At 43.2% G+C, this 14977-nt stretch overlaps 1 protein-coding gene across 2 annotated transcripts in view; it reads left to right on the top strand.

Moving 5' to 3' along the window:
• Positions 1-14465, top strand: part of EIF4E3 (eukaryotic translation initiation factor 4E family member 3) — a 95411-nt gene extending 80946 nt beyond the window's left edge. For both annotated transcript variants that reach the window (XM_047448061.1, XM_047448060.1), the window contains one exon: positions 14265-14465. In XM_047448061.1, coding sequence (XP_047304017.1) covers positions 14265-14407 — 143 coding nt within the window. In that variant the 3' untranslated portion in view covers positions 14408-14465. The remainder of the gene's footprint in view (positions 1-14264) is intronic.
• The last annotated feature ends 512 nt before the right edge of the window (positions 14466-14977 follow it).

The raw sequence follows: 14977 nt of genomic DNA, 5'->3' as shown, positions 1-14977 counted from the left end.
AATATTGACTCATTAATTCAACAAATATTTCTTGAACAGCTATGATGTGTTAGGCACTGGGGATACAAAAACAAGACATGACATCATTCCTATTTCATGGAGCTGACAATTTAGTGGATTGGTAAATATTAAAACTGAACTACTAGACTATAAGAAATGCAGGAAGTGTATCTTAGACATTTTTGAGTTGCACATACCTGGCATGTAAGTATGAATGCAATGCATGTTTGAATGAAGGAATGTTTGAATGTTGTCATAAGCGGTGTTTTTTTTTTTAAGTCAAAAACCCCTTAGATTTCTAAAGCTGAGTGTTTTTTTACTAATCTCATTATTGTTTTCAAATTCTCCAATAATAATAATAGCTTAGACACTGAATTCAGTAACCACAGAGGCTGTTTATAATTTGTTGGTGCTTTTTAAACATCTTTGAAAGCCAAACAAGCCCTTGACTCCTGGCCAATAATTCACTGTGTCTTCATGTATATACCTGAGGGGTAGCAGTCATCAAAAGGCCTGTGCACCAGCATGTGAAATATGGGGATCCTTATACTGTGGAATGTATAAAGATTGCTTACTCTGTAATTTTTAAAAGCCCTGTAACTCTTTATAAAGCATATATAGCATCTGAACAAGAAATATGACACTAAGTCTAGGATTAAATAATATCTTGCGGCCACTACCTTATGCATTTTCAGCAGTTTGGGAACTCCACTAAGTGCAGGTCAACAAGCCCAGAGCATCATAAATGAGCATCTGTCCCATGACCCAGCTGGAGACCCCTTCCGATTATTCATTCCAGAAGCACGTGCTGACACCGGGTTCAGCCCTCGTGGCTCTCTCACTCACAGTGGTCTTTTAAGATTGTAGAGAGGTCAAATCCTTCCACCCCCATGCCTTGTGGAGTGGCTAAATGTTTTCTGGGTCTTACTTGCTTTGTAGCCCTGATAACTCTATTTTTTAAATTAAAGTAAACAAAAGAGGGCCCCAGCCAGGGAGCAGTCCAACCCAGAAGACGTGTGTGGAAAAGGTTTAAAAAAAAAAAGAAAAAAGATGTTTTAAATGAGAACAGGCAGCTCTGCGGAGAAGAACTTGTTCGATTCGGCACCACTGCTGTTTCGCCCGCTGACCTGGACTTTGCAGCCCAAGTTCATCCTTCCACTTCAAAGGCCGGGCTCCGAGCAGATCACACGTTTTACTTGATGACAAATTAATCAAACTTGATTTCTTGGATGAGATGGATACAAAAGAACTACAACTCCCCAAGGCCTGAAAGTCAATACAGCCCTTCTGGCTCTGATTAGGGTAACAAAAGGATATCTGAGAGCCATCTTCCTCCCTGCTCAGGCTGTGGGATGGAACTAAAAGCAAGCCGGGCTTGTAAAGGAGAAAGGCCTTATTAAAACACATTTCAGCTGCAACCAAGTGCATGGCGAGCCCTCCTGACAAGAGAAAATTACTTTTTAGTAGATGCTCACCTTTTCTCAAGAGCAAAGTTTCCACTTAGAAGAACCTAGAGGAAGTAGTATATTATGAATCTGAAATGTTTATAGATCTCGCCTTTTATGTTTCTGCTGTGAAGATGAGGTTAAAAAAAATCGCCCGGTGATATCTGGCAAATGTTAGAGAGAGCCCACGTTTGGTTAAGTAAACTTACTTCTGCTGGGTTAAAAATGAAACTCCCCAAGTCCAGGGAATTTATGTACCTGTTAAGGCAGGACTAGGACAAGGTAAAGTAATGGCTTCAAAATGCAACTGCTCTGGGGCCACTCCGGCAGCCCACTCATGTGAGAGGGCGAAATAAGCCTTCTGCTAAATCGGGGAGCGCAGGATTTCAATGCAAAACCCTCTTAGCAGCTTTGTCATCCTCCTGTTCTGCGGAGCATCCAAGGACATCGCTTGCATCCTTCTTGTGATTGCTCTATGGTCTATATTTAGAAGAATTGCTGTTGCACAAAATATGGTCCCCTGACTGTTCTGGGGGTGCTTCATGTCCTTCCCAAAAAGGCTTCCAAAAAAAAAAATGGAGGGTTTATACCTTTATAGCACAATTTTTAAAAGAAGGCCCTGATGAGTGTTTCCTTTAATATGTGGGCAGCATGCACAAATCTATATACCGTGGGATCTTATTTTGTAAGTTTGTGGGATCTGCTTCCACGCAGCCGCCCCGCCGCCCGGAGAGTAGGGAATGAGGCGAGGGATGGTTAAGTATGCGGAGTGAAGTTGGGTCACACGGGCCCATCTCTCATTTCTGACACTCAGTTTGAAGATCCTTCAAGTGTCTTTCTGATCCTGACAGGCAGTTTTTAAAATGTTTGTGGCATTCCAAGACGCTTAATAATTTAAAGCTGTATTTTAGATTCCAGCAATGAGCACAATACCCCGAGAGTTAGCCCTCCCCCTGCGAGCGGCTCCGGATGCTGCCATGCTGTCTCTCCCACTCTTCTCCGACACGGGTGCTCCAAGCCGCGGCCAGCCAAGCCCCTGGTCTCTCTGCAGCCCTCTGCTGGGCCCCCTCCTGCTCACCCGGTAGGGATGCTCTGAGGGTGAGCCAAGGCCCCCTCCTCCCCAAAGCCTGTTCTCTGCTCTCCAGCAGAGAAGAGCTTCCTTTCCTGCAACAGAGAGGGCACTTGAGTTTTCTTTTAGCCTCCTCTATGGCCTTCGACTCATTCCACGCATAGTGTGTATGGCCATTGTAAGTGTGGCACTAGATTAAGGGTTCCCAGGCCTTCTCCCACCTTTACATCACACACAGCTCTGCACACAGAGGTTCAGCTGTTAGATGAGTTGAAGGAGCAACATTCCCACCAGCTCATCCGAGATCCCATCTTAGGAAACCCATTCTCCGCGCTTGGGGGATTGCTGTTTTGGTTTGCGAAGTGAGAAGACTGGCTTCCTCAGCCTTACACCCCAACTTGCTAGTCTTGTGACCTTAAGTGAGCCACCTAACTTCTGAGTCTCAGTTTCTTCATCTGAGTCACAGGAATAGTGAATTCTCCCACCACAGAGTGTGAAGATTAAATGAGACAATGCACGCGAAGGCTCTTTTCGTGCTATCCAGTGTTTCTCATGGATAGATCTTGATAGTAATGCTTCATGGTACCACAGTGGTCTGACCAAGGTGGGCCTGTTTTTGAGATACGTGGCCAGTTGTTTTAAAATTCCATTCTACAGTAGAATCCAGAAACCTCTCAATTTCCACAAAGACCCCCATTGTTAAGGACAAAAGTAATACCTGCTTATTTTAACAAAAACAATACCAGTAGCTAGCTTCCTCTCCCCACCAAAAACTTTTTTTTATTCCTAAGTCGTACTTGTAGGAAATACAGTGCTTATAGATATCTAAAGACACGGAAGAAAGTTGGGCTGCTTGGGGCTGAGACGAGGGCCGTGGCTGGGGCCACGGGGGTTGGGGGGGTGCAATGGAGGAGATTTAGGAAGGAAGGTTACTAAATGGGAAAAAGGAGGGGCAAAAGAAATGCAGCGAGCCTTGCGAAGAGGCACCTACCTTATCTCAAGTGGTACAACAGATATTTACTTGCAAAAGCTGTCTCCTCCCCATGTGTAGGAAATTTTCTAAAGAAAATGTAGCCACCATGTTTCATTTATGTGAGTATCTCCAACACCTGGAAGACTTTTGTACCAGGAGGTGAGGTTTGAGGACAGGTAAAATCTACCAGAGCCCCCTGACGTTCGACAGTTTAGAAACCCACCTATAGGTAATTAAGTAAGTCACTAGTCCCGCTGATAGACAAATATTCCTTATCTTCACACGATAAGGCAGAAATGGTTGGGCCTGTAGAAACTTCACTGAAGGTTTGTGGTTTTAAATCCAGTTGTTCTTGTCAGTGTTGTGTCTTGTCCTCAAGGACGGTTTATGCCTCTTGTGTTTATGTAGCAGAATTATAGTCTCCAGGACAGGAGCTGTGCAGTATGAATAGTTTCTACTGGACATTTTGCTAGAAAGTATGTGTCAAATTCTAAGAGTTCAAAAATGAGAGTTGATTGCTTTGATCTTCTCCTTTTTTTGTTCTGCTAAATAATCTATGTCTCTCTGCCCATGTGGAGACTCCAGACAGAGCAGCCCTAGAATGTCACTCAAAATAAAACAGCAAAGGTTGAAGTCATGTTTAGGCCTTCACCGAGACGTTGAGTAGTTGAGAGTGTTCCCTTGTGTTACCAGAGTCTGGGAAGATTTCTGCCCATAAAAATGCATCAGTGACTTGTGATTATAACATACCCCCCTTCTAACAAATCTCAATAGCCATTTAACGTATCCATTTGTATATTTCATTCTAAACACAATTTTAAAATCTTACATGTTGCAGACAAAACACTTAGTTCAAAAATTCAATTGTTGGGGGACAAAATGTATTTATCCATGACGATACAGGTTTTGAAAGCGGCTCCTGTTTTTATTATTATTAATATTATACTTTAAGTTCTGGGATACATGTGCAGAACATGCAGGTTTGTTACATAGGTATACATGTGCCATGGTGGTTTGCTACACCCATCAACCCGTCATCTACCTTAGGTATTTCTCCTAATGCTATCCCTTCCCCTTGCCCCCCACCCCCCAACAGGCCCCGGTGTGTGATAGTCCCCTCCCTGTGCCCTGCCCATATGTTCTCACTGTTCAACTCCCACTTATAAGTGAGAACATGTGGTGTTTGGTTTTCTGTTCCTGTGTTAGTTTGCTGAGAATGATGGTTTCCAGCTTCATCCATGTCCCTGCAAAGGACATGAACTCATGCTTTTTTTATGGCTGCATAGTATTCCATGGTGCATATGTGCCACATTTTCTTTATCCAGTCTATCACTGATGGGCATTTGGGTTGGTACCAAGTTTTTGCTATTGTGAACAGTGCTGCAATAAACATATGTGTGCATGTGTCTTTATAGTAGAATGATTTATAATCCTTTGGGTATATACCTAGTAATGGGATTGCTGGGTCAAATGGTATTTCTAGTTCTAGATCCTTGAGGAATTGCCACACTGTATTCCACAATGGTTGAACTAATTTACACTTCCACCAACAGTGTAAAAGCGTTCCTATTTCTCCACATCCTCTCCATCATCTGTTGTTTCCTGACCTTTTAATGATCGCCATTCTAACTGGCGTGAGATGGTGTCTCATTGTGGTTTTGATTTGCATTTCTCTAATCACCAATGATGATGAGCTTTTTTTCATATGTTTGTTGGCCGCATAAAGGTGTTCTTTTGAGAAGTGTCTGTTCATATCCTTTGCCCACTTTTTGATGGGGTTGTTTTTTTTTTCTTGTAAATTTATTTAAGTTCCTTGTAGATTCTGGATATTAGCCCTTTGTCAGATGGACAGATTTTAAAATGTTCTCCCATTCTGTAGGTTGCCTGTTCACTCTGATGATAGGTTCTTTTGCTGTGCAGAAGCTCTTTAGTTTGATTAAATCCCATTTTGGCTTTTATTGCAATTGCTTTTGGTGTTTTAGTCATGAAGTCTTTGCCCATGCCTATGTCCTTAATGGTATTGCCTCGGTTTTCTTCTAGGGTTTTTATGGTTTTAGGTCTTACGTTTACATCTTTAATCCATCTTGAGTTAATTTTTGTATAAGGTGTAAGGAAGGGGTCCAGTTTCAGTTTTCTGCATATGGCTAGCCAGTTTTCGCAACACTATTTATTAAATAGAGAATCATTTCCCCATTGCTTGTTTTTGTCAGGTTTGTCAAAGATCAGATAGCTATAGATGTGTGGTGTTATTTCTGAGGCCTCTGTTCTGTTCCATTGGTCTATATATCTGATTTGGTACTAGTACCATGCTGTTTTGGTTACTGTAGACTTGTAGTATAGTTTGAAGCCAGGTAGCATGATGCCTCCAGCTTTGTTCTTTTTGTTTAGGATTGTCTTGACTATACAGGCTCTTTTTTGGTTCCATATGAAATTTGAAGTAGTTTTTTCTAATTCTATGAAGAAAGTCAGTGGTAGCTTGATGGGAATAGCATTGAATCTATAAATTACTTTGGGCAGTATGGCCATTTTCACTATATTGATTCTTCCTATTCATGAGCAGGGAATATTTTTCCATTTGTTTGTGTGCTCTCTTATTTCCTTGAGCAGTGGTTTGTAGTTCTTCTTGAAGAGGTCCTTTACATCCCTTGTAAGTTGGATTCCTAGGTATTTTATTCTCCTTGTAGCAATTGTGAATGGGAGTTCACTCATGATTTGGCTCTCTATTTGTCTATTATTGGTGTATAGGAATGCTTGTGATTTTTGCACATCGATTTTGTATCCTGGGACTTTGCTGAAGTTGCTTATCAGCTTACAGAGTTTTGGGGCTGAGACAATGGGGGGTTTTCTAACTATACAATCATGTCATCTGCAAACAGAGATAATTTGACTTCTTCTCTTCCTATTTAAATACCTTTATTTCTTCCTCTTGCCTAATTGCCCTGGCCAGAGCTTCCAATACTATGTTGAATAGGAGTGGTGACAGAGGGCATCCTTGTCTTGTGCCAGTTTTCAATGGGAATGCTTCCAGCTTTTGCCCATTCAGTATGATATTGGCTATGGGTCTGTCATAAATAGCTCTTGTTATTTTGAGATATATTCCATCAATACCTAGTTTATTGAGTGTTTTTAGCAGGAAGGGGTTGAATTTTATCGAAGTCCTTTTCTACATCTATTGAGATAATCATGTGGTTTTTGTCATTGGTTCTGTTTATGTGATGGATTACATTTATTGATTTGTGTATGTTGAACCAGCCTTGCATCCCAGGGATGAAGCCAACTTGATTGTGGTGGATAAGCTTTTTAATGTGCTGCTGCATTCGGTTTGCTAGTATTTTATTGAGGATTTTCGCATTGATGTTCGTCAGGGATATTGGCCTGAAATTTTCTTTTTTCTTTTTTTTTGAGACCAAGTCTCGCTCTGTTGTGCAGGCTGGAGTGCAGTGGCGTGACCTCGGCTCACTGCAACCTCCACCTCCCGAGTTGAAGCTGTTCTCCTGCCTCAGCCTTCTGGGTAGCCTGGACTACAGGTGTGCGCCACCATGCCCAGCTAATTTTTTTGTATTTTTAGTAGAGACGGGGTTTCACCATGTTAGCCAGGCTGGTGTTGAACTCCTGACCTCAGGCAATCCGCCCACCTCAGCCTCCCAAAGTGCTGGGATTACAGGCAGGAGCCACCGTGCTGGGCTGAAATTCTCTTTTTTTGTTGTGTCTCTGCCAAGTTTTGGTATCAGGATGATGCTGGCCTCATAAAATGAGTTAGGGAGGAGTCCCTTTTTTTCTATTGTTTGGAATAGATTCAGAAGGAATGGTACCAGCTCCTCTTTGTAACTCTGGTAGAATTCAGCTGTGAATCCATCTGGTCCTGGGCTTTTTTTGGGAGGTAGGCTATTAATTACTGCCTCAATATCAGAACTTGTTATTGGCCTGTTCAGGTATTCGACTTCTTCCTGATTTAGTCTTGGGAGGGGTATGTATCCAGGAGTTTATCCATTTCTTCTAGACTTTCTAGTTTATTTGCATAGAGGTGTTTATAGTATTCTCTGACGGTAGTTTGTATTTCTGTGGGATCAGTGGTGATATACCCTTTACCATTTTTTTTATGTCTATTTGATTCTTCTCTCTTTTCTTCTTTATTAGTCTGGCTAGTGGTCTATCTGTTTTGTTAATCTTTTCAAAAAACCAGCTCCTGGATTCATTGATTTTTTGAAGAGTTTTTCATGTCTCTGTCTCCTTCAGTTCAGGTCTGATATTAGTTATTTCTTGTCTTCTGCTAGCTTCTGAATTTGTTTGCTCTTGCTTCTCTAGTTCTTTTGTGATGTTAGGGTGTCGATTTTAGGTCTTTCCCACTTTCTCCTGTGGGCATTTAGTGCTATAAATTTCCCTCTAAAAACTGCTTTAGCTGAGTCCCAGAGATTCTGGTACATTGTGTCTTTGTTCTCATTGGTTTCAAAGAACTTACTTATTTCTGCCTTCATTTTGTTATTTACCCAGTAGTCATTCAGGAGCAGGTTGTTCCGTTTCCATGTAGTTGTGTGGTTTTCAGTGAGTTTCTTAATCCTGAGATCTAATTTGATTGCACTGTGGTCGGAGAGACTGTTATGATTTCCATTCCTTTACATTTGCTGAGGGGTGTTTTACTTCCAATTATGTGGTCAATTTTAGAATAAGTGCTGTGTGGTGCTGAGAAGAATGTATATTCTATTGATTTGGGGTGGAGAGTTCTGTAGATGTCTACTAGGACCACTTGGTCCAGAAGGCAGCTCCAGTTAAAAGTATGTTACAGTGACAGACTTTCATGTCTCTGATTCTTAAGGTGTTTTCATTGCAAGACATTCAAAATAGGGGAAAAGTATCTCTCTTTAATAGTTGGTTGTAGAAATTCTCTGGCTAATTTTTAGCAGAATAGTTAAATAAAGCACTCAGCCCATTAGATTCTTTTAAAGCCACTACCCATGTGCAACCTGTCAGTGTTAACATTTATAAACTAACCAGCGTGGCTTTCATGGGATCACTGTGGGCTGCCATCTGGCTCACTGGCTGGAGTCATCAAGAGAAAACCAAGACCAGCTGATCCTTGGAAACTCGTACTAAAGTATTTTCAGAGCCCAATTTATTCCATATTTGAATTTTCACTGGGATAAGTTTTTTAAATAAGAATATAGCAAAATACCAAATCAATTTCAGTAGCCTATAACATGATAGGTAAAGTAGAAGAGGGTCACCATGAGCACCATTGCATCAGGGCCACCATGCATCAGGGCTGCCTCATTGCAGGTGAGAGAAACCAGCTAAGATTCTTATAAGAAAAAATAAAATTATGTCTGATGTAATTTAAAAGTTGTGGAGTAGTGGCTTCAGGCACAGCTTGATCCAGGAGACAACCTCTTAGTTCTTTTTTGTGTCATCTTCATGCTCCAGCTGTAGACATACGTCTTCGAGTTTTTTTGTTTTGTTTTGTTTTGTTTTGAAATGGAGTCTTGCTCTGTCGCCTAGGCTGGAGTGCAGTGGTGTGATCTCAGCTCACTGCAACCTCTGCCTCCCAGGCTCAAGCAGTTCTCATGCCTCAGCCTCCCGAGTAGCTGGGATTATAGGCACACACCACCACACCCAGCTACTTTTTTGTATTTTTAATAGAGATGGGATTTCATCATGTTGGCCAGACTGGTCTCGGACTCCTGACCTCAAGTGATCTGCCTTGGCCTCCCAAAGTGCTGGGATTACAGGCATGAGTTTTTAAGTCCAAAAGAGACAGAATGGGCCTCTCTCTCTCTCTCAACAGTCCCAGTAAGCCCCAAGGTTGTGTACCATTGGTTCTACCTGACTCTTTTCCTGAGCCAATCACTGTGGCCAAAGGATGGAAGTGCTGTGCCAGGCCAGGCTTAAGTGACCCATTCCTACAGCTGGGGTGAAATCATGAAGATGATTCTCCCCCCACCCCCCACCAAAAAAAAATGGAGGCATTGATTCTGGGTGACAAAACCCAAAAAAATCCACTATAGCATCAAGTTCCAATAGCTGGGTGACCTTAGGCATGCTGCCTAAATCCAAAGCCTCCATTTTTTTAAATGGAGTATGAAGATGATGATTCTGCCCTGGTTTTGTGTGGTATCCTAAGTTTTGTATGTAGTCAGGCTCTATCAAGTTGAGTAATTAACATAAAACAAGAAGCCAGTGGACTGGGACTTGGTGATGCAGTGGCTCCCCATTGCCCTGTAGATAAAGTCCTGATCCTCCATTAGCCCACAAGGAGCTGAGTCTGCAGCCTTTTCTGGATCCACTCCCATTACCCCTCCTGCCGCTCCTCCCTGCAGGGGAGGGACCTTCCCAGGCTGCCCTGTCTGCTGTAGCACTCTCCTTCTCCCTCCCTCTCCCTGCCCACTTACCTGCCTGATCTGCCTCAGGAAAGCCCCTCCCTACCTCAGGGGATACCCCTCCTTTGTCGCTTGCAGCCCTGCACCCCTTCAAGTATAGCAGGTGGCACGCTGTTTGCCTGTCCCTCACACTAGACTAGGTGATGGCGGACACCATGATATTCACTCAGGTGGCCTCCATGGCTGGGTCATAGTAAGTGTTCAAAGGACTTTTGTTGCATAAAACAGGCATGAGCGGCGAACCACAGTCAGGCAGGCGGGACGTCTCCCGGTAAAGGCCTGGTTGGGCCTGAGAGTTTGGTGATCCAGTGGATGAAGAAGCTTCACTCTGTCCTGCAGATGGGGGTCCTCACCCCAATATCTAGGCCACTGCCTTGTAAAGCATCCTGCTGATGCCTGGGGAGAGCATGCTGGGCACCATCTTCACCCCTGGAAAAAACCCAAGGGCCCTGCCTTAGAGCCTGGGAGCAATCATTTTGCCGACTGCATGGACTGTTACCAATCTTTGTCTGTAGGTTTGTAGACAGTGTTGTAGTTTTGTAATAAATTCTTATTTTGAAAGGATAAGCTGATTCTTGATTCAAAGAAGCAGATTTTAATCCACAAACAAACTTTCCTGAAAGCAAATATTTACTTTCTGTGTTACAGCTTTAGAGATGCTCAAGGTAAAAAATTTCCCCGATTACATGTTTAGGGAAATTTGCTTTGGAAGGAGAATCAAAAATGTAAAAGAAATACAAATTTGAAAATAACACAACAGGCGAGGAGACCCATCCTTCGCCCAGTGTCCCAATCCCCTCCCGCACCTCCAAGCAGGAGCAGGAGGCCACCTGTTCTTCTCTTCTGATGGGGATGGCGGCTTGCAAGGGGCTTGGCAATAGTGAAGTATTTAATATAATGCTTTCTATTCAAGTTCAGTTTTGAGTATTCATGGGCTAGAACCCAAGAAACGCTTCCTTGCTGTAAACACTGGAGGTAAGCTGAAGAATTAGCCCCAGATGCAAATGTGTGCTAAGCATGTGAGAAATGAAGATCAGGCTACTGCACTCATCATGCTCAGCTTGCAAACCATCTTCCCTCGGTTTCTGCCCCCAAGTCTTCTTTCATGGAGCTGGCTTCTCTCTTATTGGAGTATTTCCCATGTGTTTGCTAAAGGGAAATCACCACCAAGACATCTGCAAAGTCTCCAGGCTTTGAAGTATTCACAGGAAACTCAGCAAAGAGAAATCCAGTTACTTTGAGTTACTTTGGGTCGGTGGATATATTGTTTGTTTGGTTTGGTTTTACAGCAGCTGGTGGTGAAGCCCAAGCCCCATGTGCTGGCACCACCGGAAATTAAAATGCCTTCTTTCTTCTTCTACCTGAGACAAGAGATTTTTAACATTGCATTTTGTAATTCAAGGGAACGAAACATAGAAGCACACATGTTGAGTTTTCCCCATGTTCTAATGAAAATTCAGAGCTTTGCATGCTTTTCGCATATAAGTGTATCTTTCTGAATTTATAGCACTTTCAATATATGAGGCATTTAAGAGTTTACAAAATGTGTTTGTGTGCATTAGCTCATGTAATCTTTCTAACAAATCAAGGCAGTGAGCTGGTTACCTCTGGTTTGCAGATGAGTTGGCCGAGAGAAAGGTGCAGAGACTTGCCCAGCATCACTTAGCTGGTCGGTGAGTGGCAGACCACAGCCCTGTGTGATTCCAGAGGGAATACTTCCAGCTAAGAGACGCTTCTTTCAATTTATTGGTGGAAAGTGGTTCTATACTGAGACACTCTCCCCTCCACCTTGCCCTTACAGTATGAAGTAATCTCCTTCCTTGGAGGTGGAGGCCAGTGTTTGTGGTTTCTTAAGACAAAATGGAAACAAGAAATTAAGCAATAATTATAATATGATTAATGATAACATTTATCAAGCATGGACCCTGTGCCAGACTCTTTTACAAATTACATGTATTCGCTTGCTTAATCCTCTAGGAACTTTTCTTATCTAGCGAGGCAAAGTGACTTGTCCAAGGTGACTTAGCTGGAAAGTGGTGAGCCAGGATTCAAATACGGACACTTTGACCCCAGGCTCCTCCTCTTAACCACTTTCTGTATACTTATTGAGCACCTACTCAATGCCAGACTCGTGTTAAGCATTATCTCACCATCCACCATTTGACAAATGAGGAAACAGAGGCTCAGAGTGGTTAAGTGACCTGTTGAAAGTGATAGGACTTAAAAAGTGCTGGAACTAAGATCTGAATCAGGATGTCTATCATGCCTGTCCTTGGACTCTCTTGCTCCATGTCATGCCAAAGTGTGCCATTTCCACTGCAAAGCCTAAAACAGCCTCATGCATAAAACTGCAAGGAGCCCATTGCGGTTGGATTCCAGAGGGTTTGCTACCCTGAAGGAGAGGCCTTGGATCTTTTCTATGCCACATTCCATTAAGATATCCTCTTTATTTGACGCATGGGAAATGGAGGCCCAAGGAGGCTAAATGACTTGCACAAAGTCATGACTTCCTGAGAGGTGACAGCAAGATCTGAATACTAGTGCTTTTCACATAGGGTACTGGCCTAAGCAGTTGCACACTTTGGATGATAATAAACTTGGAAATTGAGGACCCTTTGGGAGCACGAGGCTTCCCAGTTTCTATTTCAGGGTCATCTTTATTTCACTCTGTCCCTTTAACCTTGCTGTTCCTTCCCTCTCCTCCAGAAACGTAAAGAAACTGCCGCCCCCGCCCCCCAACCCTCTTCTTCACAGGAATGTTGCAAAGATTAATTGGATAACTTCAGAATCATTCTTTTGAGTTGCTTGAAGGAAAAATGCCATCTAGAAGAACAAAGTAAAATAACAATAACAATTATTATATTTAAAAGTATTTATGAGAATCTCTGTGGGGGCAATTAAGAGGAGACCAGCTTGTACTTGTGGAAAATTCACAAGTTGATGAAACGCTCGCATCCCTGCCAGTGCCCCACGATTCTGCTGGGCTGCTGGTGGAAGGATGGTGTTGGGGTACTGGAACTGAAGTGCAAGCATGAGGGGGTGGAAGCTTCAGAGCCCCAGGCCCTCATCCTTCATAAAAATAACCAGCCTGCCCCGTGTCAGGCCTGCAGGAGATAGCACCTGTGATGGCCCCAGACTGGTTACCACGAAGTGCTCACACAGCTCTTTCCAAAAACGACATCTCCTTGTCATCCGCAAAACAGAACTTATTTTTTTGGGCTTCGGTGTCTGTCCTATAATTAATTACTGCCCATTTACAACAGAGACTGAAAATTCCTACTGCCTCAGCTGGGTGCCTGGAAGGACTTCTTTCACATCAGCTGATAGAACCTGTGTTTGTATTTAGCGGTGGGCCTGGCAGATAATGAGGTTTTGATGCCACAGAGCTATTTAGGTGAGTTTATTCTAGGCTCTAAGGATCCCTCGGCTGCTAACATCTGGTCTATTCAGATGTCGCTCTCTCTCCATTCAGAGGGCCCGGGTTTGGTGGGCAAGATGTTCTCTTTTACAATCGACTTGCCTTTGATCTTCAAGACTGGCTTTCCTGCTTAAACACCTGGCCATGCTTAGCCTCTGTAGCAATTCTGCACTCCTGCACAGTGTTTCTTTTCTTGGCTTTCTTTCTTTCTTTTTTTTTTCAGCTTCACTTTTTATACACAGATGGTCATCACGCTGTGTGCAACTGCAGCCGCAGCCTGCTCATCATCGGAGAACAGAATTTTTTTTCCCTCCAGCCGATTCAGACAGGATAACCTCTTAGGCAAACACTTGGGTACCTTCCCATCTCTTACAGCTTCATTTTCTGCTCACACCACCCCCACCAAGTCCTACCCACTGAGTGTGAGCAGAGGCTGGGCCCCCTAGAGCAGAGCTTCTCCAGCAGCAATGAGCATACATACTGACTGCCTGGGCATTTGATTAAAATACAGACTCTGATCCTTAGGCCAGGAGTGGGCCTCAGATTCTGACATCTGTCAGGCTCCCAGGCAACACCCATGCTGTTGGTCTGTGAACCACAGGCTGAATAGCAAAGTCCTAGATTACTTCTAGAATAATCTACACTTTGGCCTCCTCCCAGTAATGTACCTGCCTCTTCCCCGCTTTCTTAACAAAACTTAACTGCCTTATGTTCTGTTCTCATGAAAGCACCCTCCTGCCCCCAGGTGACTATCTCGTACTCAAATATTAATACCTGATGGAGAAGCAGGATGTGGAATCAGAAGACTGTGGGTATAGGAACTGTGTTGTGACCACAGTGTGAGAATTACATTTCTAATTGGTGAACCTTTATTGTTTTTAATATATCCTGGCAGTATTCTACCCTGATAAAAGTTTTAAAGTAATAATGTTATTCTCAATATGGAATTAGATCTTGACACGCTTTCTCCTTCCACCCCTATCCTCAGAGTTCACACAGAACAACAGAGGCTCAACTCATGGCCCATTCAGAGTGCCCAAACATAAGAATCACATCCTGTCAAGAAGACGATCTGTGCCCCTGTCACAGTTGATGCCATGGCTGAGACCAGTATGTTCTATTCAGATTTGAGAAAAGCAGTTTCCATGTAATAAGTCTGATGCCATAATTAAAACATGTAGCAACTGGGTCCATGCCTGCCTTTTACACGAATCCTCAAGAGCGACATTTAGATGAGCATGGACATCTGAAATCCACTTGATGCCATGGCTCTTTCTAGGAGGGAAGCTCCTTTATGCTGTCATTAAATGGGCACTTATGATTCTCCAATCATACATCAGGGTTGAGAGGCGCAAGCTTGCGAGTCCAACTCGCCTTGATTCATATCTTGGTTCCATACATGGCTTTAGCCCTGTTGTTTAACCTCGTTTAGCCTAGCTTTCCCTGTCTATATAATGGGCATAACTATTATTATCATGTATTTCAGGCCTGTCACATGATAGTCTTTGTAGACCCCACCTCTGTGGCTATGACAGCCCTGTAAAGCTGGCTAGCGACTGGTGTGATGTGGGTAACAGTCAATGACAGCAAACCAGCCCTTGCCTCTAGACAGGCCTTCAAGGCTCTTTCGGGCTTGAGTCTCCCTTACTCTCCTGCATCACTGGGGGGTTTCCAGGAACGAGCTTGTTCCACCAGTGCAGT

This window comes from Homo sapiens, chromosome 3 (assembly GCF_000001405.40).
Source record: "Homo sapiens chromosome 3, GRCh38.p14 Primary Assembly".
Taxonomy (NCBI): domain Eukaryota; kingdom Metazoa; phylum Chordata; class Mammalia; order Primates; family Hominidae; genus Homo; species Homo sapiens.
This window is presented reverse-complemented; position numbering and strand designations above follow the sequence as displayed.